Source organism: Homo sapiens, chromosome 5 (assembly GCF_000001405.40).
Source record: "Homo sapiens chromosome 5, GRCh38.p14 Primary Assembly".
Lineage (NCBI taxonomy): Eukaryota > Metazoa > Chordata > Mammalia > Primates > Hominidae > Homo > Homo sapiens.
The window spans coordinates 34,401,459-34,428,101 of record NC_000005.10 but is presented as its reverse complement, the minus strand read 5'-3'; the positions used below and the strand labels follow the sequence as shown (position 1 = coordinate 34,428,101).

The 26,643-nt window shown below is 39.0% G+C and overlaps 8 annotated features.

Moving 5' to 3' along the window:
* Positions 8,192–8,392: a silencer, noted in NCBI's record as "peak5221 fragment used in MPRA reporter construct". NCBI's record gives its function as "represses an SCP1 promoter by STARR-seq MPRAs in K562 erythroleukemia cells {active_cell/tissue: K562}" and the evidence as "EXISTENCE:reporter gene assay evidence [ECO:0000049][PMID:32103011]".
* Positions 11,078–11,644: an enhancer, noted in NCBI's record as "NANOG hESC enhancer chr5:34416563-34417129 (GRCh37/hg19 assembly coordinates)". NCBI's record gives its function as "activates a minimal SCP1, AML or CMV promoter by ChIP-STARR-seq in primed H9 embryonic stem cells {active_cell/tissue: H9 hESC(primed)}" and the evidence as "EXISTENCE:reporter gene assay evidence [ECO:0000049][PMID:30033119]".
* Positions 12,044–12,213: an enhancer, noted in NCBI's record as "active region_22460". NCBI's record gives its function as "activates an Ori minimal core promoter by ATAC-STARR-seq in GM12878 lymphoblastoid cells {active_cell/tissue: GM12878}" and the evidence as "EXISTENCE:reporter gene assay evidence [ECO:0000049][PMID:35858748]".
* Positions 15,254–16,076: an enhancer, noted in NCBI's record as "OCT4-NANOG-H3K27ac hESC enhancer chr5:34412131-34412953 (GRCh37/hg19 assembly coordinates)". NCBI's record gives its function as "activates a minimal SCP1, AML or CMV promoter by ChIP-STARR-seq in naive H9 embryonic stem cells {active_cell/tissue: H9 hESC(naive)}" and the evidence as "EXISTENCE:reporter gene assay evidence [ECO:0000049][PMID:30033119]".
* Positions 15,254–16,078: a biological region, named in NCBI's record as "OCT4-NANOG-H3K27ac hESC enhancer GRCh37_chr5:34412131-34412953".
* Positions 15,784–16,078: a silencer, noted in NCBI's record as "tiled region #480; K562 Repressive non-DNase unmatched - State 24:Quies". NCBI's record gives its function as "represses a minimal TATA promoter and a strong SV40 promoter by Sharpr-MPRA in K562 cells {active_cell/tissue: K562}" and the evidence as "EXISTENCE:reporter gene assay evidence [ECO:0000049][PMID:27701403]".
* Positions 16,077–16,899: an enhancer, noted in NCBI's record as "OCT4-NANOG-H3K27ac-H3K4me1 hESC enhancer chr5:34411308-34412130 (GRCh37/hg19 assembly coordinates)". NCBI's record gives its function as "activates a minimal SCP1, AML or CMV promoter by ChIP-STARR-seq in naive and primed H9 embryonic stem cells {active_cell/tissue: H9 hESC(naive and primed)}" and the evidence as "EXISTENCE:reporter gene assay evidence [ECO:0000049][PMID:30033119]".
* Positions 16,900–17,723: an enhancer, noted in NCBI's record as "OCT4-NANOG-H3K27ac-H3K4me1 hESC enhancer chr5:34410484-34411307 (GRCh37/hg19 assembly coordinates)". NCBI's record gives its function as "activates a minimal SCP1, AML or CMV promoter by ChIP-STARR-seq in naive H9 embryonic stem cells {active_cell/tissue: H9 hESC(naive)}" and the evidence as "EXISTENCE:reporter gene assay evidence [ECO:0000049][PMID:30033119]".

Here is a 26,643-nt window from a genome sequence, read left to right as displayed (position 1 = left end):
TGGATTGAAGGATGCAAAGTATTGTTTCTGGGTATGTCTATAAGGGTGTTGCTGGAGAAGATTAACATTTGAGTCAGTTAATCTGGGAGAGGCAGATCCACACTTGATCTGAGTGGGCACCATCCGATTGGGTGCCAGCACAGCTAGAAAAAGCAGGCAGAAAAAAGTGGACTGAGCAGACTTGTTGAGTCTTCCTGTCTTCGTCTTTCTCCTGTGCTGGATGCTTCCTGCCCTTGAACATCAGACTCCAAGTTCTACAGCTTTTGGACTCTTGGACTTATACCAGTGGTTTGGTAGGGGCTCGTAGGCCTTTGATCACAGACTGAAGGCTGCACTGTCAGATTCCCTACTTTTGAGGTTTTGGTGCCCTGCTTACCAGCCACTCCAGCTCCACCCATGGCTAAAAGGGGCCAAGCTACGGCTTGGGCCATGGCTTCAGAGGGTGCAAGCCTCAAGGCTTGGCAGCTTCCACATGGTATTGGGCTTGCAGGTGTGCAGAAGACAAAAATTGAGATTTGGGAGCCTCTGCCTAAATTTCAGACGACGTATGGAAATGCCTGGATGTCCAGGTAGAAGTCTGCTGCAGGAGTAGAATTCTCATGGAGAACCTCTACCAGGGAAATGCAGAGGCGAAATGTAGGGTTGGATCTCCCACACAGAGTCCCCACTGGGGCACTGCCTAGTGGAGCTGTGAGAAGAGGGCCACCATCCTCCAGATCCCAGAATGGTAGATCCACCAACAGCTTGCACCTTGTACTGGGAAAAGCCATAGGCACTCAACGCCAGTCTGTGAAAGCAGCCATGGGTGCTATACCCTGCAGAGCCACAGAAGCAGAGCTGCCCAAGGCTGTGGGAGGCCACCCCTTGCATCAGTGTGCCATGGATGTGAGACACAGAGTCAAAGGAGATTCTTATGGAGCTTTAAGATTAAATGGCGGCCCTGCTGGATTTTGGACTCACATGGGGCCTGTAGCCCCTTTGTTTTGACTGATTTCTCCTTTTTTGAAAGGGAGTATTTACCCAATGCCTGACTCTATGTGAGACATAGAGTCAAAAGAGATTATTTTGGAGCTTTAAGATTAAATGTTTGCCCTGCTGGATTTTGGACTGGCATGGGGCCTGTAGCCCCTTTGTTTTGGCTGATTTCTCCTTTTTGGAAAGGAAGCATTTACAGACTTATAGGCAGAAGGAACTTGCCTTGTCTCAGATGAGACTTTGGACTTGGACTTTTGAGTTAATGCTGGAATGAGTTAAGGCTTTGGGGAACTGTCAGGAAGGCATGATTATGTTTTGAAATGTGAGGAGGACATGAGGTTTTGGAGGGGCCAGGAGTGTAATAATATGGGTTGGCTCTGTGTCCCCACCCAAATCTCATCTCGAATTGTAATCCCCATATGTCAAGGGAGGGACCTGGTGGGAGATGATTGGATCATGGGGGTGGTATCCCCCATGTTGTTCTCATGATAGTGAGTTCTCATGAAATCTGATGGTTTAAGTGTTTGGCAGTTACCCCACTCTCTCTCTCCTTCTGCCATGTAAGACGTGCCTTACTTACTCTTCACCTTCTGCCATGATTGTAAATTTCCTGAGGCCTCCCCAGCCATGCAGAAATGTGAATCAATTAAACCTCTTTCCTCTATAAATTACCCAGTCTCAGGTAATTCTTTATAGCCATTTGAAAATGGATAAATACATACAAGTTGCAAGAGAAAAAGAGCAGATGGGGAATAATCAATTATATATTCATCTTGAGTCTTGAACTCAGTAAAGTGGCACTTTATATAAGATAAGTTGAACATAGAGTAGCTACCTGTGGAATCCTTTTAACTGTAGCTATTTGCTTAGGGACAAAAGGAAAGGCAGCTTTTTTGCATGACTCAGCTTTCAGCTTAATTTTTCTTTTTCTTTTTTTTTTTTTTGGTGTAATGAATTGGGGTCCCAAGTTTTTATTTTCCTTTCACATTTTCTCCCTATTTTTTTTTTTTGGGACAGAGTTTCACTCTTGCCCAGGCTGGAGTGCAGTGGAGTGATCTCGGCTCACTGCAAGCTCCGCCTCCCAGGTTCATGCCATTCTCCTGCCTCAGCCTCCCCAGTAGCTGGGACTACAGGTGCCCACCAACACGCCCGGCTAATTTTTGTATTTTTAGTAGAGACAGGGTTTCACCACATTAGCCAGGATGGTCTCAATCTCCTGACCTCATGATCTGCCCGCCTCAGCCTCCCAAAGTGCTGGGATTACAGGCATGAGCCACCATGCCCGGCCCTCTCTCTGTTTTTTCTTTTTAAAGCTTTCAGAGGAAACATTTTAGAAGAAAATGAGTCTCTGGTCTTGGGTTTTGTTCGATCTCTCATAGCTAGGACAGTTTGTTCCTAGACAAATAGGTCCCACATTGTTAGGAAAGCTCATTTTTTTTAACAGATTTTAAGGTCTCCTATCCTATCAAGAAAAAATAGGGGAAGGAAGAGAAAAAGAAAACAATAAACCAACAAAAAAATAGAACAATCCTAGAAAACTGATATAGGCTGCATTATTCTGAAGTCCATACATCAGTAGGCAGATATGAAAGTAGTTTATGTATATAAATAGGTTACTGTTATTTTCTTCTGATGTTTAAGTTATCTAGCTTCAGTTTACAGGGCTTTAAGAAGAGCAAAGCATAATTTTTAGTGATTTCAAATTAGAACAAAATGGACAGAAAAAAGGAAAAGAAGAAGGAAAAAAATTGAAAACATTCCAGCTTGTGTCCAGGAAAAATTTTAGAATTCAGTTCAAATAAAAATTTTATTATTTAGAAAATAATACAAATGGAAAAACATTAGGCAAGACTAGAATCTAATAACAGGTGTACTGCAGTTATTTTTTTTAGAGACAGGGTCTTGCTCTGTCTCTCAGGCTTAAGTACAGTGAGTTGGTCACAGTTCACTGCAGCCTCAACCTTCCAGGCTCAAGTGATCTTCCTACCTCAGGTCCTCAAGTATCTGGGACTGTCAATTGAGCCACAACACCTGGCTAATTTTTAAATTTTTTTTGTAGAGACTGGGTCTCACTGTATTGCCTGAGCTGGTCTCAAACTCCTGGGCTCATGTGGTCCACCTGCCTTAGGCCCCCAAAGTTCTGGGATTACAGGCATAGCCACTGTGTCTGACCCTATAGTTTATTTTGAAGCATAATTTTTCCCTCTTCAATTCCTCAATTTTATGAAAGACAAAATCATCATAATACTAATTTATTTGTAAAATAACTTTTAGTCCTATTACACTTTGCTTGGTTATTTGCATAAAGTGCAGCAAAAATAATTATTTTCCATATAGGCACTCCGTCTTTTTTTAATTGGCTTTGCCAGAACCTTTTTCATAAGGAATCTAAGATTAGACCTTTTTAAAAGGCTTGAGCCCAGCCAAGGATTTATCTGTGCTTGCAGATACCTGTGTGAATTGGATGAATTCTTCTCTTTTCAAGGTTCTAAGAAAACTTGGGGTTTCTGGGCCTGACAAAAAATGACATTCTTAATTTACCACAGGTTGGCACCCTGTAAAAGACAAGGTATAAAGTCAGTTTTTCTAAGGGGCTTCTCTAAACTCTATGAGTCAGCCTCATTTTCTAAAGTCAATCTGAAAATATCACTCCACTCAAAACCTTGGTAAAATAACCAGTGTCTCCAAATATGCCATGTTAGAAAAGAAAACAGATTCTCATTGAACTTATGCAGATAACTATATTGTCATAAATTAAGAATGCTCACAAAACAGTTTTCAAATTTTAAAGAAATTAGGTTTTGAGAAAGGGGTTGCATTTCAAATTTTGCTCATAAGAGTATCCTTTACTCAATTGTTAACAGCTTTAAATAGCTTAAAAGAAGAGAAACTTTTCTTGACTCTGAAAAACAAAACAAAGAGTCAGCAAATGTTTTGAAGAAGCCGTAAAAGATTAACTCAGTCTTCTGTTAGTTCAGCCCATGTAACTAACTCCTGTTCTGCTTGATATTGGATCAACAGTCCTCATGAATACATCGGCTCTCCATGAGAATCTTCGAAATTTTTCTCTCTATTCCTGTGGCACAATCTCTCAATTTATACAAAACCTGTATTTAAGAGTACCCCTCAGAGCTCCATAGCTGATTATAAACTGCTCTATGAAAGAATCAAAGTAAAACAACAATTGCGGATGACAAAAGTCTTAGAACAGCCATGGTTGAAGAGACAATTGACAAGGAAATTTGGTTACTTCTGTGGCATACAACAATTTTACATAATAATTATAATTACTACTGATAGTATATGCTAAGACATATCAGAATCACAGGAATCTCATACAATTTTGGAACAAATACTAATAACTCATTTAGATAAATATAATCCAAAGAAGGCTAAATACCATTTCATATTTGACAATACTTCCTGCATGATTTTATTATAACAAATAAGCTGAATATGTCTCTTTTGGACTTAGGGGACCTAAAGTCAAAAAAGTAAATAAAGTCAAAAGGACTGAATATAGAATTTGATTTTGGAAAGTTTGTCAAATATCAAAAGTTTAAAACACTTGACATCACAAAATAGGATCACAGGTCATTGTAAAAGAAGTCATTCATTTAGCCAAAGTGACAACTCAATTTTTTTTTTTAAACAGAGAAAAACCTTGTTATTTGAGTGAGGATACTTACTTTCCTAAACAATAAGCCTTAATAAAGACAGCATGAAGCTAATTAAATCTGTCTCTCAAATCTTATAAACAAATCTATTAAATTTTAATCATCTTGACCACAGGATATAGTTTCCATAAACCTTTTTATGCTTTTTTTTAAATTAAAAAGTGGGTTAATGCTTCATGAAAACTTTGTTAGTCTGACACAGGGGCCCAGATACAGGTGTTGCATCAGTGTCCCTTTGATATTAATGTTTAATTTATAGAGAAACTCAGAATGAATTTTATTTCTCAAAATTGGCCCTTACAATCTCATGTGCCCTTTCTTACCAAAAAAACTCTTTATATCTATAACTTTCTTTATATCTCTCTTATTTACTGATTCTTTTTACCTTGTTTTATAAATAACCTTTGAATTAGACAAAAATCATTTTCCTTTAAATAAGAATGCATTTTGCAAGAAAAATATTTACCTACAATATATTTTTTAATTCAAAATGACCCAGACATTTAATGAATATTTACTATTTAGTTCAATATAACTTCAGATGCTAAATTATGTGACATGTTTATTAACAAGCATGTGAACCCCCCAGATTTGAGACAGGTCTCACTTAATTTAGAAAGTTTATTTTGCCAAGGTTGAGGATGTGCACACAACCTCAGAAAGTCCTGATGACATATGCCAAAGGTAGTTAGGGCACAGCTTTGTTTTATACATTTTAGGGAGTCATGAGACATTAATCAATATGTGTAAGAAGTACGTTGGTTCTGTCCAGAAAGTGGGGGACAACTTCAAGCAAGGAGAGGGGCTTCCAGATCACAGGTAGGTGAGAGACAAATGGTTGCATTCTTTTGAGTTTCTAATAAGCCTTTCCAAAGGAGGCAATCAGAATGTGCATCTATCGAAGTGAGCAGAGGGATGACTTTGAATACAATGGGAGGCAGAATGGTCCTGAGAAGTTCCCAGCTTGAATTCTCCCTTTAGCTTAGCTTAGTGATTTTGGGAGCCCAAGATATCTTCCTTGCACATTTTCCCCATCTTCTTTTTAAAAATATTTTGGGGAAAGCATTTTAGAAGAAAATGAATCTCTGGTCTCAGGTTTTATCTGATCTCTCATGGCTAGGACAGTTTATTCATAGATGGGTTAGGTCCCGAAAGCTCATTTTTAGCAGTCTGTGAAGTTTCATGTCGTATGAAGAGAAAATAGGGGGAGTGTAGGGAGACCCCCTGAAACTATTGCTATGGAATAAAAGATGAAATGCTCCTGATTATTGTAAATACAAAATTGAATGCAGGATTGTGTAAAGACAATGCCAGGTTGGACTGCCAGAACAAGCCAACAGCGTGTAATGTGCTTCCCCCTGCAGAGAGCCTATGAATGGACGTGCAGTCAGGGAGGTTTCACATCACCAAGATTCCTATCCCAGAAAAGCAGATGTTCATAGCTCTGGGAATGGAATGTGACCCTTGTGGAGAGCCTATAAACGGATGCATGGTGGGGGCACCTGTCCATATGGATAAGACAGGGCTATAAACACCCTCTTCTTGCCACGGCTCTTCTAGGTCTCTTTAGGGTTAAGGCATACTCCCTTCTGAGAATTTCTGGTCTAACCGGTTGTCTAGCTTCACCTCCTGTTTCCATGGATTGTTTGTAACCAGCTTTTGTTGAAATTGTTACTGCTGATTAATATCTTGCTAATCGTAGGTTACAGAAAGATTGTGTTTCTGTTTTAAGGCTCTGTTAGAAATTACTGATGCACACATTATATTGTAAATTCTTATCTCTGTATACTGTACTTCTACATACAAATGTTATGTTAAAGAATTACTTTATCCCCATGTGACCATCTCACCTCATAATCAAATGACCCTAAATCCCTCACTAACCTACCCCTGCCCTCACTAAATTTAATAATAAATGCTGGTATATCCAGTGCATTGTTGGCACCGTGGGACCAGAAGGTGGTGACCCCCCTGGACCCAGCTTTCACTATCTTCTGTGTGTCTATTATTTCTCAACCTGCTGATCCACCTGGGAACAGAGAGAGCCCCATTGCATTGTGGGCTGCTGGCCAGATCCCGCAATAGGGGAGGAAGGGAGAAAAACAACAACAAACAAAAGAACAATCCTGGAATAATTGATAAAGGTCACATTACTCTGAAGTCCAGACATTAGTGGGCAGGTATGAAAGTGGCTTATGCATGTAAATAGGTTGTTGTTATTTTCTTCTGAAGTTTAAGTTGTCTGGCTTCGGTTCACAGGACTTTAAGAAAACATAGCTTAGTTTTCAGTGACTCCAAATTAGGAAAAATAAGAAAAAAACAAGGAAAAAAATTGAAAACATTATTTTGAAGACTTGTAGCCAAAAAAATCTAGAATTGGTCCAAATTGTAGAAGATAATCATTAGGCAAGACTAGAATCTACAATAGATGCACAGTTTTGAAACATAATTTTTCTCTCTCATTTCTCTCTCTCTCTGTCTCATACTAAAGACAAATCATGGTAGGACTAGTTTGCTTTATTATACTTGGCCTAATTATTTGTATACAGTGCAGCAAGAATAATTGTTTTTTATATAGGCTTTTAAATTGGCTTTGATGGAACTTTGTTCCATAGGAGAAATCTCAGATAAAACTATTTTTTTCTTTTTTTTTGGAGATGGAGTCTTGTTCTGTCACCCAGGCTGGAGTGCAGTGGCATGGTCTCAACTCACTGGCACCTCTGCCTCCCAGGTTCAAACAATTCTCCTGCCTCAGCCTCCCAAGTAGCTGGGATTATAGGCACCCACCACCACACCTGGCTAATTTTTGTATTTTTAGTAGAGATGGGGTTTCACCATGTTGGCCAGGCTGGTCTGTAACGCCTGACCTCAAGTGATCTGCCCACCTTGGCCTCCCAAAGTGCTGGGATTATAGGTGTGACCCAGACAAGACTTTTTTAAAGCTGAGCCCAGCCATGGATCTGTGCCATTAAATAACTATGAGTTATGTGAGTTTCTTCTTCTCTTGCAGTTGCAAGATAAACCTGGCTCCTGGGCCTGTCAGAAAATGACATTCTTTACTTACCACAGGTCAGGAACCCCGTACAGGGATTGTGTACACAAAACATAAGGCCAGCTTTTCCAAGGGCTTTATTGGCTTCATAAGTCAAGTTTGATTCCTTAAAGGAAAGCACATCATTCCAGTCAAAGCCTTGGTAAAATAACCAGTTTCTCTAATTGTTTCCAGTTACAAATGAAAACAGATACTTTTTTTTTTTTGAGATGGAGTCTCGCTCTGTCGCCCAGGCTGGAGTGCAGTGGCATGATTTCAGCTCACTGCAAGCTCTGCCCCCTAGGTTCACACCATTCTCCTGCCTCAAGCTCCCGAGTAGCTGGGACTACAGGTGCCCACCACCATGCTCGCCTAATTTTGTTTTTGTATTTTTAGTAGAGACGGGGTTTCACCATGTTAGCCAGGATGGTTTCGATCTTCTGACCTCGGCCTCCTGCCTCGGCCTCCCAAAGTGCTGGGATTACAGGCATGAGCCACTGCGCCCCACCTAGATTCTTACTGAACTTATGCAATAACTATATTGCCATAGTTAAGAATACTCACCAATAGTTTCCAAACTCTGGGGAAATCAGGTAGACAGAAACAAATATGCTCCAAATTTTGCTCATAGGATTACACTGAATTGTTAAAAGCTGTCAATAGCTCAAAACAAAAGTTTCAAGCCTAAAAACAACCCACAAAGGATTAGCAACGATTAAAGCAAAAGTAAAAAAGATTGCTTTAGTTTTCTATCAGTTCAGTTTACTCCGTTAACTCTTGTTCTGCTTCATGAGCATTTCAGCTCTTCATGAGAGTCCTGAAAGTTTTTTTCCCTCTGTTATAATGTCACAGTCTCCAAAGTTATCAGAAACCTGCATTTAAGAACACCTGTTAGAGTTCCATAGCTGATTATAGAACCACCTTCTAAAGAGGACCAAAACAAGGCTTGTCTGTGGAAGACAAAAAGCTTTAGGGCAGTCATAGTCAAAGACACAATTGACAAGGAAATTTGTTACCTCTGTGGCACACAATAATTTAACATAACAATTATAATTATTACTGATAATGCACACTGTTATATCAGAATTGTAAGAGTTTCCCATAATTTTGGAACACATACCAATAACATATTTATACAAATACAGCCCAAAGAAAACCAAACACCATTTCATATTTGACAATACTTCCTGGATAGTTTTTTTGTAGCAAATAAGCCAAATTATGTCATTTTTGGACTTTAGAGGACCTAATATCTTAAAGAATTAATTAGGTCAGAAGAAAACATAATTTATAACTTGATTTTGGAAAGTTTGTCAAATATCAAAGGTTTAAAACACTTGATATCACAAAATAGGATCACAGGTCATTGCAAAATAAGTCATTCACTTAACCAAAGTGATAATGCAAGGATTTTTTTTAAAAAGGCAAAATCTTTATTCTTTGAGAGAGGAGACTTAATTTTCCAAGCAATAGCCCTAATAAAAACAACATGAAGCCAATTAAATTTGTTTTCCAAAATTTTATAAACAATCTATAAAATTGTAATCTTGACCATCAGCTATAGCTTCCATAAGCCTTTTATAACCCTTACAACCTTCATTAAGGAGTTGGCTAATGCTTAAAGAAAACCTTGTTAATCTGACACACGGGCCCATATGCTGATCTTGCATCAGTGCACCTTTGACATTAATGATTACTTTATAGAGAAACTGAACTTAATTTTATCTTTCAAAACTCACCCTTACAATCTCATGTGCCTGCATCTTGCATTTCAGTCCCTGGGCCTTGAGGAGTTGACTAGCTTTAATTTCTGGCTCTGTGTCTCAGAAAAGCAGTTTATTTTGATTGGCATCTTCTATGGGGCATAATAATGAGGCTTTAATTGCTGTGAGTGTTTAAGATTTAGCAAGACTTGGTGTCCTCTTAAGACCCAGGATTCAAAGCCCTAAATGTCACAAGACTTTAAAAACACATACAGGAAGATAACATGGATGTAATAACCTTAATCCAAAAATTTTTTTAAACTCAGTTTTTATTCATAAGCAAACCAGAACTTAATAATAATGTGACAACCTGATCAAATGAAAGCTTTTTTTTCAGATAAATTCTCTTATTATTACTTAAACCAACTGTTCATGACATGCCTGGACTTTCTGGTTTGTCCTGAATATCCCTCTTTCTTTAACAACCAGTCATTTTATTTTAGGGCTAAATTTACCATACAAGATTCTTTCTCATATACAATTATTTCTCTTTCAGCTTTCTTACCACAAAAAAAAAATTTATTTTTATAACTTTATTTACATCTGTCTTATTTCCTGGTGCCTTTTACCTTGTTTTATACATAACTTTTAAATAAGCTTTGAATGAGATAAAACTTATTCACCTTTTTTTTAAAAAGAACACCCTCCCTTTTTTTTCAGTAAGAATGTTTTCTGGCCAGGCGTGGTGGCTCACGCCTGTAATCTCAGCATTTTGGGAGGCCAAGGTGGGTGGATCGTGGGGTCAGGAGTTCAAGACCAGCCTGACCAACATGGTGAAACCCCGTCTCTACTAAAAATACAAAAATTAGCCAGGCATGGTGGCACGCACCTGTAATCCCAGCTACTCAGGAGGCTGAGGCAGGAGAATCACTTGAACCTGGGAGGCAGAGGTTGCAGTGAGCTGAGATCATGTCACTGCACTGCAGCCTGGGCAACAGAACAAGACTCCGTCTCAAAAAAAAAAATGTTTTCCTGCAATATATATTTATTAGAAAATACCCAAATAATGAAATATCTATTATTTAATTTAATATAACCTTAGAGTCTAAATTATGCTGAGTTTGTCTACAAGTATTTATCCCATTACATTTCCCTAATTATTTTAATTGTTTCCCTAGATTATTTATGAAAACTACAATAGTCATGATTTGAAGTTATGAAACTGCCATTGCAAAATTATGGCTGAGACAGTGAAAAAGATATAACCTAACTGACTCCATCTTGCTTCTAACCTCTAAGCTGTCCTTGTTAATTACTAGACTTTGGGAGGAACTTAGCTTATACTTTAGCTTTGAAACAAAGACGATTACAGTCCTGTCCCATAACAAACCTCCTTACTGCCCATGGACTAGGCTGTGTAAATACAGAAGATTAGAAGTTATGGTAATTTTACTAAACAATTCAAGATGTAGCTATTTTCATGAAACCAGTATCAGTGTCTTATTCATTAAAGATTACACAAGCAAAGATCATTCTGTCTTGGGCTAGGTTTATAGTTTTGTAAACTCTGTGCCAAATTTTGACACCTTATAGTATTTGGCAGGGATAAGTATGAACTTGCTTGATTAATAAATGCAAACAATGTATGCTGGCAATTCTTAAGACATTTTTAATATTACTTTGCCAATAATTTTAAAGCTAGCTTGTTTACTAAAGATTTTACTTAAGTTACATAAACTTGAAAAAGCATTTGACTAGTCTTTTCCTTTTTCATATCTAATTTAAGCACTTTGATTTTACTTTTAAGCCCATTAATTAGAGATCTTTTATATATTTTTAGTAGTAAAATATTGTGTACACAACACATAAATATATAGATGCATTAGGCATGCTGATAGAAGTACATTTTATAGATTCACAAAAACCTTTTTTTCCCTATCTTAGACTTTCAGATTCTTGATAATGTGTTTTACAACCCTGAGCTGTTGTCAGCTAAATAGCCTTAAATTTGCATATTAAAGAAAGCAACTCAGGTAAAAGTCAAAGAGCAAAATTTACATTATAATGTGCAGAGAGAAAAAGTTTGGTATGTTGGAGGGAAATTAAAATGGTTTTAATTGCCTATTAAACATAAAATTATGGAAATTATAAAGGCCTTTTAAATATGTACACACACACACACAAAGATCCTATAGCTTTTACTTCAGAACTTTTAACCATGAGATAAACATGAAATCATTGGCTTGCAAAAAGGGCTTGTTGGATCTAAACAGCGGTTTTTGTCTTAATAGAAAAATAACAGCATATTTAGAGCAGGCAGAAAAGAAAAAAATAGAGAAAAAGAGGACTTAGGAACTCTATAGTTTTCAGGTTGACCTTCGGGCTCCTTTTCCTTAAGGTAATTATTTACAAAGACCATATTATTTTCATTTTACATAAACTTTGGCAAGTAGATGTGCCATGAAACCCATGGAGTCCTTGAAAGGGGGTCATTTTCCTTGTTTTCTTTCTTAGATTATTTGTTTCCCGCTTTTCTTTTTCTTAAAAGGAAGAACTGAGCTCTTGCCTAAGGTTTTTATGTGGTGGATTGATATATGCTGCTTTTGGTCAGGACTCTACAATGTGTCACCACTGAGTACATCCACCCTCTTACATTTCTGTCTCTAGAGTTTCTTTCAGTTTCTTTCTCCAGAGGTCTATGACCTCAGAGAGGGCTAAAAATGCTGGGTGATCAGCCCTTATATGTATTTCCTGGATGAGCCATTTTAAAAATTAATTTTTGTTGGGGGTTTCCCAGAAGGGCCACTACATGTCATGGCATGGGGGATCAATGCCCTAGACACTGTGATGGGGCCCCCAGTCACCCAGGGACACCTTTTGGCTGGGAGGAACAAATGCCCTTCCTCTTTGGAGCTGAGAAAGCTCAGTCTCTCATTAACATGTGAAAACAACATTTCAGCTCCTCATGAAAATGCACACTGACAAACCAAATTAAGATTAAATTTGGGAGAAAAGGCAATGGAGAAGACTATTTAGAATGCATCTTTAAAGTAGAATGAGAATCCTTAAACAACAACCTCAGACCAGAACAAATAACAAAGAAACTCCAACGGTAAGATCACTGAGTGCTCTAATGGTAAGGAGAAATTAAGACCAGCTGGCTGTTAATCTAACTTTAGCCAAGACAAATCCCAATTCAATTACTTACCTAGGGATGGGTCTCAGGCTGAAGAGTGCTCTCTACCATCCTAGAAGCAGGAAAAGAAACCCCTCATCTTCCCTGTTGGAAATGAACTCAAACTCCATAAAGGAGTTACCTACCTTCCATCATCATGGAAGCAGGAAAAACTTGCCTTCCTTGTGTTGGAATGTTGGACTCAAGTAAAACTAAAAAAAAAAAAAAAAAAAAAAAGGAGTTTTTACAGCAAAATAAGCTTTAGATCTTGACTAAATTTTGGGAAATTAGGGATCCTCTGGAGGCAGTGTTCTTAGACCTCAGCAAATTGTCCTATTGGTTTTTGCCATGAAGTTAGCGCATGTTGGCACCAAGCACCAACACAAGATTTGTCAAAGGTCAGGGGCATCTCCACTCAGAACCCCTTAGTGGTTACCAAAATGTGAAGCCCCAAAATTTGAGACAGGTCTCAGTTAATTTAGAAAGTTTTTTTGCCAAGGTTGAGGACGTGCTCATGACGCAGCCTCAGTAAGTCCTGATGACATGTGCCCAGGTGGTCAGGGCACCGCTTGGTTTTATACATTTTAGGGAGATATGAGACATCAGTTAATATGTGTAAGAAGTATATTGGTTCCATCCAGACAACTTGAAGCAGGGAGGGGGGCTTCCAGGTCACAGATAGGTGAGAGACAAATGGTTACATTCTTATGAGTTTCTGGTAAGTCTTTCCAAAGAAGGCAATCAGAATGTACATCTGTCTCAGTGAGAAGAGGGATGACTTTGAATAGAATGGAAGGCAGATTTGCCCTGAGCAGTTCCCAGCTTGAATTTTCCCTTTAGCTTAGTGATGTTGGGCCTCAAGATATTTTCCTTTTACAAGCATTTATTTCATTATATTTACCTAATTAATTAATTTAAAAAATAGTTTACCTAAATTACCTATGAAATAACCAAATGAGTGTTTTTGCTCAATAACTCAGGATTTAGCTATTTTCATTAAACCAACAATATTAAATGTCTTATTTGTTAAAAAATTACACAAACATAATTCTCTTTTGGTCTGCAAGCTTTATAACTCTCATGCCAAATTTTGAAGCTTATAGTATCTGGCAGAGATAAATATCAAACTGCTTGACCAATAAATCTAAATGATAATGCATGTTAACAATTCTGAAAACATTTCTAGTTTTATTTTACATATATATATTTTTTTTTTTCTTTTTTTTCTTTTTGATGTGGAGTTTCACCCTTGTTGCCCAGGCTGGAGTGCAATGGCATGATCTCGGCTCACTGCAACCTCTGCCTCCCAGGTTCAAGCAATTCTCCTGTATCAGCCTCCCAAGTAGCTGGGATTACAGGCATGTGCCACCATGCCGAGCTAATTTTGTATTTTTAGTAGAGAAAGGTTTTCACCATGTTGGTCAGGCTGGTCTCAAATTCCTCACCTCAGGTGATCCACCCACCTCGGTCTCCCAAAGTGCTGGGATTACAGGTGTGAGCCACCACACCCAGCCTTTACCAATAATTTTTAAACCAACTTATTTATTAAGGATTTTCTTAAGTCATATGAACTTGAGAAAGCATTTGGGTTTAAACTTTCTATTTTTCTGATACAGTATTTCATTTGAGTGCTTTTTTTCTTTAAGCCAGTTAATCAGAGCTCTTTTATATATTTTTGGTAGTGAAACATTACATGCATGACACATAAATACATAGACATATTAGACATGTAGATATGGTGTAGATCTTATAGATTCATAAGACCACTTTTTTTTTTTTACCTCCTATTATAGGCTTCCAATTTCTTGATAATCTTTTTCATTACCCTATGCAATTGTCAGCTAGATAGCACTAAATTTGCCTACTAAAAGAACAACTCTGAGGTGAAAATCAGATTGTGAAATTTACTTCTCAAAGTACAAAGAGAGAGTCTGGTGTGCTAGAAAGAGATTAAAAATAGATGCCAAGTCAAACATAAAATTATAGAAATCTACCATATTCTACCAAATATGGTAATCTACCAAATAACTTTAAATGATTACTATTACAGTTTTCTTTTCTTTTTTTACAGTTTTCACAATATGTGTAAGGAGACCAATTGTATTTAGACAGGCAGTTTTAAATTTAAGACTGTTCTCTACCATGTTAGAAGCAAACAAAAACTCAAACTTGCCTTCCCTATTGGAAGTGTGAAAGGAAAATAAATCTAGGGACCCCAGAATCACTAAGCCAAAGGGAAAAGCCAAGCTGAGAATGGCATCAGGCAAACCTGCCTCCCATTTCATTTCTAAAAAAGATAGCTACAAAGATTTTTCTTAAAAAGTTACAATCCCCATAATTTGCCCCCTAGGAAATGCCTTGTGGGCCCCAAGATTTTTACCTTAAAACAACTCTTGAATTTCACCCTGACAATGTAAATTGAAAGCTTATCACAAGTATGGGACAAAGGACAGGACTCAATGTCCTCCCTCTGCTAATCTGAGATAAATGCATATCTGATTGCTTCCTCTGCCTTATGTTTATTTTATCTTATATAAAAATGCAGATTCACTGAGCTAGATGAATGCCTAAGTGATGATTCCTCTAACCCCGTCAAATGTGAAAGGCTGATCAAAGACTCAAAAGAATGCAACTGCTTGCCTCTTATCTACCCACATCTTTTCAAAATTTCTTTTTCTTTCCCCAGTATCTGCCTTCCCCCTTTAAATACTGAAGCCCTCAAAATCATCTTTGGAGAAAGGCACAGATCTGTCTTCCAGGTGTGCGTCCATAACCTTGGCAAAAGAACCTTCTAAATCAATTGAGACCTATCCTCAAATACTTTGCGGTTTACAGAAGTGAACTGAAACTGCAGAAAAGAATTGCCTACTCTCCATCATAAAGGAAGCAGGAAATCTGGCCTTCCTTGTTGGAAGTAAAACTCCAGAAAAGGAATTGTACAGCAAGGTAAACCTTAGATCTCAACCACATTTTGGGAGATGAGAGATTTTTCTGGAGGCGGAGTCCCTGGACCTTGGCAAATTATCCTGTTGGTTTGAGCAATGAAAAGAGCTCAAGCTGGTACCAAGCACCAATAGGAGGTTTGTCAAAGGTCAGGACCACCTCCACTCAGAATCCCTTCCATTGGTTGCCTATTTGTAAACCAAGATGTATCTGAGACAGGTCTCAATCAATTTAGAAATTTATTTTGCCAAGATTAAGGAAGTGCACTTGGGAGACATGTCTGTGCCTTTCTCCAAATATGATTTTGAGGGCTTCAATATTTAAAGGGGAAAAGCAGGCTGGAAGGGAAGGTGTGGTCACATTACTGAATCCACATGTTGCAAGAGAAAAGGAGCAGGTAGGGGAATAGTCAATTACATATTTGTCTGGAGCTCAGTAAACTGGCAATTTACATGAGATAAGGTGAATATACAGTACCTACCTGTGGAGGTAGTTAACCTTTTATCTGTAACTGTCTGCTTAGGAACAAAAGGAAAGGTAGCTTCTTGCATGACTCAGCTTTCAGCTTAATTTTTTTCTTTTGGCAGAGTGAATTAGGGTCCCAAGTTTTTATTTTCCTTTCATACTTGGTATTAACTACCTATTACAGAGTTGTGCAATGCTTTCAGCCTAGAACTTCTTCATAATCCATCTCTCTCCCACCTTCTCATGTTTAGAGGTTTTGAACAGACAACTGCTCAGCATGCTTGCCCTTACATTCTCCCATCTGCCAAGATGACACTTGCCCCAGACAGCCCTGTCTCCATCCTGGGCCTCTTAGGCTGCAGGAGATCCAGCTGCAGAATGACTTTATTTACATTGCTATTCAGAAGCAAATGGCTCAGCTCAATGGAAAGTCTTTTATTTCTAACAAGCAAGTCAGTATGTGGCATTTTTCTTTTCCTTACTCTGCAGGACAAAATGAATCTTGCAGATGTTCCTGTAATACCAGGGGAATAAGATTCACTGATGAGCTGCTGAGAGTGGCTTGGCTGCACTACAGGGCTAGCCAGTTGCCATGTGGCCTGTGGTCAAGTCAGAGGGAGCAGCTGTGAATCCTATTTGGGAACTGACTTTATGGCTGTAATTAGGGTGCCAGAAGGCCCATTTGTATAGAGCCTTCCTTCACAAACTGCAATGACTGCCTCCCCTCATTACAAGGCTTGGGAAAAAGGGGGCTTAGATAAGAGCATCTCTTTGACATAAAGTTGTGGGAGCTCAGGTTTTTGGTTTTCTCTGATCGTCATGGGTGGTGGTGAACAATGGGCCAATAATCTGTTTAGTCACTGAGCTAGGTGCTGAGAGATGAAGAAGGCAGACCTCTACCCATGAAATTCCAGGAAAAGGAACAAGACAAATAAAAAAACTATTATTCAAATATTAGTCCTGACCACAGGATGTGCTTAGGGAAAATAAAAAAAAAATATTGGTTCATAGTGACTTGGGGAATGTTCATTACCTTAATAAGTAGAAACAGACAGATACTGAGTTTGTGCAATTCATGACAGACCCATTTTGCCAAAACACTGTCAGAGAAGTTCAAGCCAACCAATCAGCTATCACTTTTTTCACAGTGGTGTGGTCAGACCAACCCCAGGCTTCCAGCCTGTAAACGAAAAAAAATTGTAAGGCTCCCGCAATCATCTGAATGGGCCCTCCTCTCAGCCAAGGGCATTCCAAAGTTAACCTGAAAAACTTGTTCAGGCCATCATGGGAATAGGGGGTTGGAATGCCACATTCCAAGAGGGTTGGAATGGCCTCTTCCCTTTCAGAAATCAGGAAAAGCTGACCAGCTTTAACTTGAACACAAATCTTAAGTCTGATAAGAAACATTTACAATCTATTCTTTCTGAAGCTTGGTGCTTGCAGGCTTCATCTGCATGACAAAACCTTCATCTCCACAACCCTTTGTGTAACCCAGACATTCCTTTCTATTGATAATAACTCTTTCAACTAATTGCCAATCAGAAATATTTTAATCTACCTGGAATGACTTGGAAGCCTCTCATTCCACTTAAGTTGTCCCACCCTTCCAGATCAAACCAATATAAATCTTATATGTATTTGATTGATGTCTCATGTCTCCCTAAGAAGTATAAAACTAGGCTGTGCCTGACCACTTTGGGCTCATGTTCTTAAGATTTCCTGAGGACTGTGTCACAGGCCATTGGTCACTCATGTTTGGCTTGGAATAAATCTTTTCAAATATTTTTTCAGAGTTTGACTCTTTTCTTCAACAAGCCTCTTGTAAGAACAAAGGTTCAACTAACACAAAGACTACATTTTAGGGTGATGATTCTGACATTCAAATGTTGAAAGGAGTCTCTTTAAGAAAGGCACTTTGCAAATAATCATTAGATCTCTGCATAGCAAAAATCCCTCTTCTCACAGGTGATATGGGTGCAGATGGACACTCCCTTTCATAGATGTAGCCTACCCTTTGCCCTTCCTTATTGGATGCTGATTTTCACCTTTATTGAGCTATCATGGGACTCAGCCTTTTACCAGAACCTTACAGGTGGGCATCACAAGAAAGCCAATACCTGGACTCTGCATTAGATGCATTTTAAATAATTTCCACAGCTACAGGAACATTTGCTGTCATTGTTTCCAAGCCTCTTAGTTACAGTTACAGAAATCCACTATATTAAATAATTCAATATGAGAATGTATAGAAAGTGACTAATACACTACCTCAATTACCTTAAAAATGTATATGCATATGTATATGTATGTATGTACATATATAAATATATTTGTAATTATACATTTGCTAATAATGAATATCTGTATCCCCATTAAAGTGTAAACTTCTTGAGTGTAGGAATAAAGTCAGATGGAGCCTGGAAAATGGGAATGACTGACCAAATGAACCAATGAAGAATTTCCAGCAACCAAGTGTACTCTATTTCCATCTAGTTACCATGCCTTAGCTATAAATGGCTTTCCCAAAAAATCCTGACCTCTCAATCTGGATGATGCAATGCTTTGAAAATATTTTGGATCTTGTTATTTATCTCATAAGTGACCAACAGCCCCTGCTGCTGTGCTTAGAAATTCATCACTGGGTTCCTGCAGAGAGTACCCTGTCCACAGGCTGCTCCTCAACTATGCCTGAGTGTGGAAGGGATACCAGACAGGCCCATTTCTGAGATGAGTGACTTTGATGAGAGGACTCCCCATCAGCCTTGCCAAACATCCCTAGAACTGTACTGCTGTCTCAGACTTCCACATTCAACCTTGTTTCCCTTGCTCCTTCTGAAAGCAGAGAAAACATCTGTTTCACTCCTAGGGTGAAGCAAAGGAAGCAGCAAATTAAAAGAGAAGAACCTGCAGCAGAAAATAAACATGGCTTCCAGGTGTGCAGGCAGCTAAGGCCCAACAGAGTCCCTGAGCCCCTCCTAAGCCCAGAGGGGCACAGAAGAACACCTGAGTTTTCTACAACCCGTCTAAGGGCACACCTTAGCTATAACCTTCAGGTATAAACGTTCTCCCAAGAACTTAGTTGTCACACTGGGAAAAAGAATGGGAAAAGGTAGCCTCCTGAAATTGAAAAATTTCATTTTTGAAATGATTGAATTATTACTCAATTGCCAAAAGTGTCATCTATTGGCACTATTGTTTCCAGTTCCAAGGGTAATAACAGCTCAAAATACAAATTTATTTTAGGACTGGAATGAATTAAGAAAGTGAGATTTTGCAGATTAGTTTTGTGACCTTCAAAAATTATACACTGTAGATATACATGCATGCTTGTCTGTGCAGTGGAGGATACAGACAGACACATAGGATTTGCCTGGTGAGAGAAACACGTAGATGCAGCCATTTCTGTGGATGTGGTGAGTGCAGCAGTACTGATAGATGTAAGTGCTCTGAGAAAAGGAGTGTGTGGCTTTGTCAACTTTGTTGTCTCCAGTGCCTAGCCTTGAGAGTGCCTGGTACCTTGGAGGAGCTCAGCAAGTATTTGTTCATTACACTGGTTGAATAAATGAATGCTATAAAAAGGAAAGTTGCTGGCGGGTCAGCCTTACTGGAGTGGAAGATGAGGTGGAAGCACTTCATGCTGAGGCTGAAATGCGAGCAATCAACAGGTCATGGAACATGTGCTTAGAAGGGGGAAGCTTCTGGAGGCATTTAAGCAGGTGTGATGGTCAATTTTATGGGTCAACTTGGCTAGGCTATGGTGCCCAGATGTTTAGACAAACACTAGTCTGATGTTGCTGTGAAGCTATTTTTTAGATGTGATTAACATTTATGTAATTATTATTTTTTAAAAATTTCAACTTCTATTTCAGATACAGGAGGTATATATGCAAGTTTGCTATATGAGTATATTACATCCAGGTAGTGAGCATAGTACCCAACAGGTAGTTTCTCAAGCCATGGGCCCCTCCCTCCCCATCTAGTAGTCTGTAGTGTTTATTGTTCCCATGTTTATGTCCATGTGTGCTCAATGTTTAGCTCTTACTTTTGAATGAGAACATGTAGTATTTGGTATTCTGTTCTTGCATTAATTTGCTTAGAATTATGGCCTCCAGTTCCATTCACACTGCTCCAGTAAACACAACTCCAGTAAACACATTGCACATGCTCAACTCCCAAGTGCTAGCAGGCCGCTGCACATGTGGACAGCCCACCCCAAAGGGAAGAATCAGGGGAGAAGGAATGCAAGATCATAGTAGTATGCCTGTGTATAAAACCCCAAGTCAAAGGTCAAACAGGGCACTTGATCTCCCAAGTCGTCTGCTTGGCCCTCTTCCAAGAGTGCTTTACTTCTCTAAAGCTTTTTAAAAAAAACTCACTTTTGCTCTAAAACTTGCCTCTGTCTCTCCTTTTGCCTTATGCTCCTCAGTCAAATTCTTTCTTCTAAGGAGGCAAGAATTGAAGTTGCTGCAGACACATATGGATTCACTGCTGGGAACATACTTTGGTGCTGTGACTCGGATATGTTCCCCAGTGGTAAAAAACCTCTAAGCCTCCTCTTCTTCAGCTGGAGACGTTCAATCCCCGTACATTGTTTTCTTCTCCCCTTTCACTCTCCTACTTACTAATCAACCCCCAGAACAATTCCTCTTGGCCACAAGTGGCTCTGCTCTTCCCAGCTGATCTCTCAGCTCACCCTGACAGGTGGCTTGGGGGTGGGAAGCACCTTCAGGTCCACGCTGAATAGAACTGAGGCACTAATGGACCTCCTGTACAGGAGGCTTGAGAGAGTGGTAGGTAAATGTTCCCATTCCAAATGGGAGAAATTGGGACAAAACAAAGGGGCCACATGCACTATGCAAGTTCAAACCCAACAGGGTAGTCATTAAACCTTTAAACTCCAAAATAATCCCATTTGACTTCACGTCTTACCTCCAGGGCATGCTGAGGCATGGGGCCAGCTCACAAAGCTTTGGGCAACTCCACCCCTATGGCTCTGCAGGGAATAGGCCCATGGCTGCTTGCATGGGCTGGTATTTTGTGCTTGCAGCTTTTCCAAGTGCATGATGCAAATTGTCAGTGGATCTACCATTCTGGAATCTGGAGCACAGTGGCCCTCTTCTCACAGCTCCACTAGGCAGCGCCCCAGTGGGGACTCTGTGTGGGGGCTCCAACCCCACATTTCCCATCTCCACTGCCCTAGTAGAGGTTCTTCATGGGCCCCTGCAGCAGACTTCTGCCTGGACATCTAGGCATTTCCATACATTCTCTGAAGTCTATGCTGAGGTTCACAAAACTCAATTCTTGTTATCCGCACTTCTGCAGGCCCAACACCATGTGGAACCTGCCAAGGCTTGGGGCTTGCACCCTCTGAAGCAATGATCTTAGATGTACTTTGGCGCTTTTTAGCCATGGCTGGAGCTGGCATGGCTGGGACGCAGTATATCTTGTCCCAAAACTGCACAGAGCAGGAGGGCCTTCACCTCAGCCCAAGAAACCATATTTCCCTCCTAGGCCTCAAGATCTGTGATGGGATGGGTTGCCTCAAAGACCTCTGAAATGCCCTGGAGATATTTTCCCCATTGTCTTGGCTATTAACTTTTGGCTCCCTGTCACTTATGCAAATTTCTGCAACTGGCTTGAATTTCTTCCAAAAATCTGGGTTTTTCTCTTCTATCACGTGGTCAGGCTGCAAATTTTCCAAACTTATATGCTCTGCTCCCCTTTTAAACATAAGTTCAAATTTCAAACCATCTTTTTGTGAATGTGCATGATGATGTGCTTTTAGAAAAAGCCAGGTCACCTCTTGAATGCTTTACTGCTTAGAAATTTCTTCTGCCAGATATCCTAAATCATTTGTCTCAAGTTGAAAGTTCCACACATCTCTAGGGCAGGGGCAAACTTCACAAGTCTCTTTGCTAAAGCATAGCAAGAGTCACCTTTGCTCCAGTTTCCACCAAGTTCCTCATCTCCATCTGAGGCTACCTCAGCCTGGACTTCATTGTTAATATCACTATCAGCATTTTGGTCAAAACCATTCAACTAGTCTCTAGGAAGTTCCAAACTTTTTCTCATCTTACTGTCTTGTTCTGAACCCTCCAAGCTGTTTCAAACTCTACTGGTTACCTAGTTCCAATGTCATTTCCACATTCTCAGTTATCTTTATAGAAATGTCCCACTAATTTGGTACCAATTTTCTATATTAGCCTGTTTTCACAGTTACCCGAGACTGGGTAATTTATAAAGAAAAAAAGGTTTCATCGATTTACAGTTCCATATGGCTGGGGAGGCCTCAGGAAACTTACAATGATGGCAGAAGTTAAAAGGGAAACGTAGCATGTCTTACATAGCTGCAGGATAGAGAGAGAGCAAGGGGGAGTGCCACACTTTAAGGCCATCAGCTCTCATGACAATTCATTCACTATCATGAGAATAAGAAGGGAGAAATCCACCACCATGATCTAATTATCTCCCATCAGGCCCCTCCTCCAACATGTGTGGATTACAATTTGAGATAAGATTTGGGAGGGGACACAGAGCCAAACCATATCAATTGACTTCATTATTTCTTTTGAATACATAAATTAGTGATTTTCTAGTTCCATCTTTTTTTTGGCATTGATTATCAAGGGCTCATCTAAACTATCTAAACTAAAGTTGCCTAATCAATCATTTGATTACTTTATCATTTCTACTGGGTTGTCATTGTTTCTTTTTGAAGGTGTGTTTCAAGTGTACTGGGGATGTCTAGGTTCAATGTGTGGTGAGATGACATAAAATTATTCCATTAATATTGTTATGCATCATTTACATTCTTATGTCTAACATTGACAAAATACTATAATAATACAATATTTTAATATGCTGAAAAATAAACACCTTTGGGGCTATGTATTTCAAACTGGTTTATTCTAGATTGTATGAAGCTAAAAAACAACAACAAACCCTGCTTATTTTAATTGAAAGATATATTATTGTAAATGCTTAAATTTATTACTATAATTTACTGATTAATATATCTGGCATTATTACTGTGTTTCATTAATCAGTTCATCCTGGAATTGAACACCTTAAAAGGATAAGATTATTTCATGATTAATACGGCTTACTAAAATAATTTTGCTCTTACATTGAGTTTTTTCTATAAACTCCTGAGGAGATTTTGAATATTTAAATCACAAATAAAAATTAATCCTTAAACTTCACTGAGTTAATTAAATGAACAAAGAATATTGGTACAAATTGGCTAATTTTGATAACTTAAATAAATAGGCCCAGTGGTTGTTTTTTTTCTTTTTCAAGTAAATTGCATATATATGTGTGTATTAAGTAATATATATACATTATTTATGTGTGTGTGTGGGTAACATATGTGTGAGACATGTATGTATATATATATAAACAAAATATATGTAATATATAAATTATATATATTATATGTTATATAAATATAAATATATATATATAAATTTTTTTTTCCTCACTGCTGCTTTTCAGGGCTACTATTCAGTTCCCATAGTACAGCAACTTTCCAATTCTGGTGGTGGGATAATAACTACTTCATGATTGGAATGTTGCCTACCTGGCCTCTCAATGTTCCATTCTCAGGACTCAGTTTTTTAGTAAAGTCCAGTAGTGTACCAAGAGCCTTTTTTGAACGGTGTTCAACTCTCATCTGTAGCTATAATTCCCATTTTCTTAAATACTGGAATATGCACTGCATATTTATTAGCAAGGTGAAAACAGACTAATACAATAAATTGGTACTGAGAGTGGGATGTTGCTGAAATGATACCCAAAAATGTGGAAGTGACTTTGGAAGTGGGTAACACACAGAGGTTGGGACAGTTTGGAGTACTCAGAAGAAGACAGGAAAATGTGGGAAAGTATGGAACAACCTAGAGCCTTGTTAAATGGCGTTGACCAAAATGCTGATAATGATATGGACAATGAAAGGTGGTCTCAGATGGAGATGAGGAACTTTTTGGGAAGTGGAGCAAAGGTGACTCTTGTTAGGTTTTAGCAAAGAGACTGGCAGCATTTTACCCCTGCCTTAAAGATTTGTGGAACTCTGAACTTGAGAGAGATGATTTAGGGTATCGGGCAGAAGAAATTTCTAAGCTGCAAAGCATTCAAGAGGTGACTTGGGTTCTGTAAAAGGCATTTGCTTTTAAATGGGAAACAGAGCATAAAAGTTTAGAAAACTTGCAGCCTGACAATGCAGTAGAAAAAGAAAAACTCATTTTTTGAGAAGAAAATCAAGATGGCTGCAGAAATTTATGTAAGTAGCAAGGATCCTAATGTTAATCCCCAATATCATGAGGAATAGGTCTCCAGGCTGTGTCAGAGACCTTCACAGCAGCCCCTCCCATCACAGGCCCCGAGACCCAGGAGGCAAAAGTGGTTCTGTGGGCCTAGCCCAGGGTCCCTGTATTGTTTGCGGCCTAGGGACTTGATGCCCTGTGCCCAAGCTGCTCTAGCCATGACAGAAAGGGGTCAACATAGAGCTTGGGCTGTGGCTTCAGAGGGGCTTGCCTCAGAGGATGGAAGCCCCAAGGCTTGGCAGCTTTCACATGGTGTTGAGCCTGCAGGTACACAGAAGTCAAGAATTGAGGTTTGAGAACCTCTGCCTAGATTTCAGAAGATAAATGGAAACGCCTGGATGCCCAGGCACATATTTGCTGCAGGGGTGGGGCCCTCATAGAGAACTTCTTCTAGGCAATGCAGAAGGGAAATGTGGGGTTGGAGCCCCCACAGAGAATCCCTACATTGACACTGCCTAGTTGAGCTGTGAGAAGAGGGACACCATCCTCCAGACCCCAGAATGATGGATCCACCACAGCTAGCACTGTGCAGTTGGAAAAGCTGCAAACACCCAACACCAGCCCATGAAGGCAGCCAGGAAAGAGGCTGTACCCTGCAAAGCCACAGTGGCTGAGCTGCCTAAGACCATGGAAACTGACCTTTTGCATCAGCATGACCTGGGTGTGAGACATGGAGTCAAAAGAGATCATTTTGGAGATTTAAAATTTGCCCCACTGGATTTTGGTCTTGCATGGGCCCTGTGACCCCTTTGTTTTGGCCAATTTCTCCCACTTGGAATGGCTGTATTTACCCAATACCTGTACCCCCATTGTATCTAGGAAATAACTAGATTGCTTTTGATTTTACAGGCTCATAGGCTGAAGGGACTTGCCTTGTCTCAGATGAGAATTTGGACTGTGGACATTTGGGTTTATGCTGAAGTGAGTTAAGACTTTAGGGGACTGCTGGAAAGGCATGGTTGGTTTTGAAATGTGAAGACAGATTAGGAGGGGCCAGGGTTGGAATACTGTAGTTTGGCTGTGTCCCCACCCAAATCTCAACTTGAATTGTATCTCCTAGAATTCCCACCTGTTGTGGGAGGGACCCAGGGGGAGGAATTAAATCTTAGGGGCTGGTCTTTCCCATGCTATTCTCGTGATAGTGAGTAAGTCTCACAAGATCTGATGGGTTTATCAGGGATTTCCACTTTTGCTTCTTCCTCATTTTTTCTTGCTGCTGCCATGTAAGAAGTGGCTTTCACCTCCTGCCATGCTTCTGAGGCCTCCCCAGCCATGTGGAACTGTAAGTCCAATTAAACCTCTTTTTCTTCCTAGTCTTGCGTATACCTTTATCAGTAGTGTGAATATGGACTAATAGAACACACATGTTAACTTTTTATAAACTGACCCCAGCAAGGTAAACAATAGAGCAAATTTGCTTGTTGTAATCATTATTAGTGTTATTTTGTTTGTTTTATTATCAAGGAATACATTGTTCACTATCTATTTCTATATATTTTTCAACTTTAACCTAGTTTATTAATTTTTGCTCTCTGTCTTTAGCAATGTTTTATTCAGAAAACATGTTGCCTGTTTAATGTGGAAACCAGGTGGGAATCTGTAGTCTGCTCAGGGAAGACTCGGGGTATCTGGTAGGATAAGCTGAAATATTTTGCCTTTTCCTTGTCTAGCTTGATAGTATCAAAACTGTTTGTTATGATTTTTTTAATCCTTTGCTGGTAAAAATTTTTCATATGTTAAGCACAACATTATATAACAAATTCATCGTTCAGTATAAGAAACAGAAGTCATTCCAGATATTTCAATTGTTTGAAACAAGTGATAATAGAGGCACAACATATCAGAGCCTCTGGGATACAGCAAAAGCAGTGATAAGGAGAAAGTTTATAGCATTCAATGCCTACATTAAAAAGATAGAAAGATCACAAATTAACAACTTACTATGGTACCTCAAGAAACTAGAAAAGAAAAGAAAGTAGCAAACCAAACTCAAAGCTATTAGAAGAAAAGAAATAAAAAAAAATCAGAGAAGAACTTAATGCAATTGAGATAAAAATACAAAGAATCAATGAAATTAAAAGTTGATTCTTTGAAAAGGTAAACAAAATTAATAGATCACCAGCTAGACTAACCAAAAAAAAAAAAGAGGTTCAAATAGGCATGATCAGAAATGAAAAAGGAGAATTAAAACTGATGCCACAGAAATACAACAGATCATGAGAGACTACTGTGAACCTCTGTGTGCTCACAAATTAGATAAACTGGAAGAAATATATGCATTCCTGGAAACATACAAACTCCCAAGATTGAACCTGGAAGAAAAGGAAATTTTGAACAGGCCAACAATCAACTG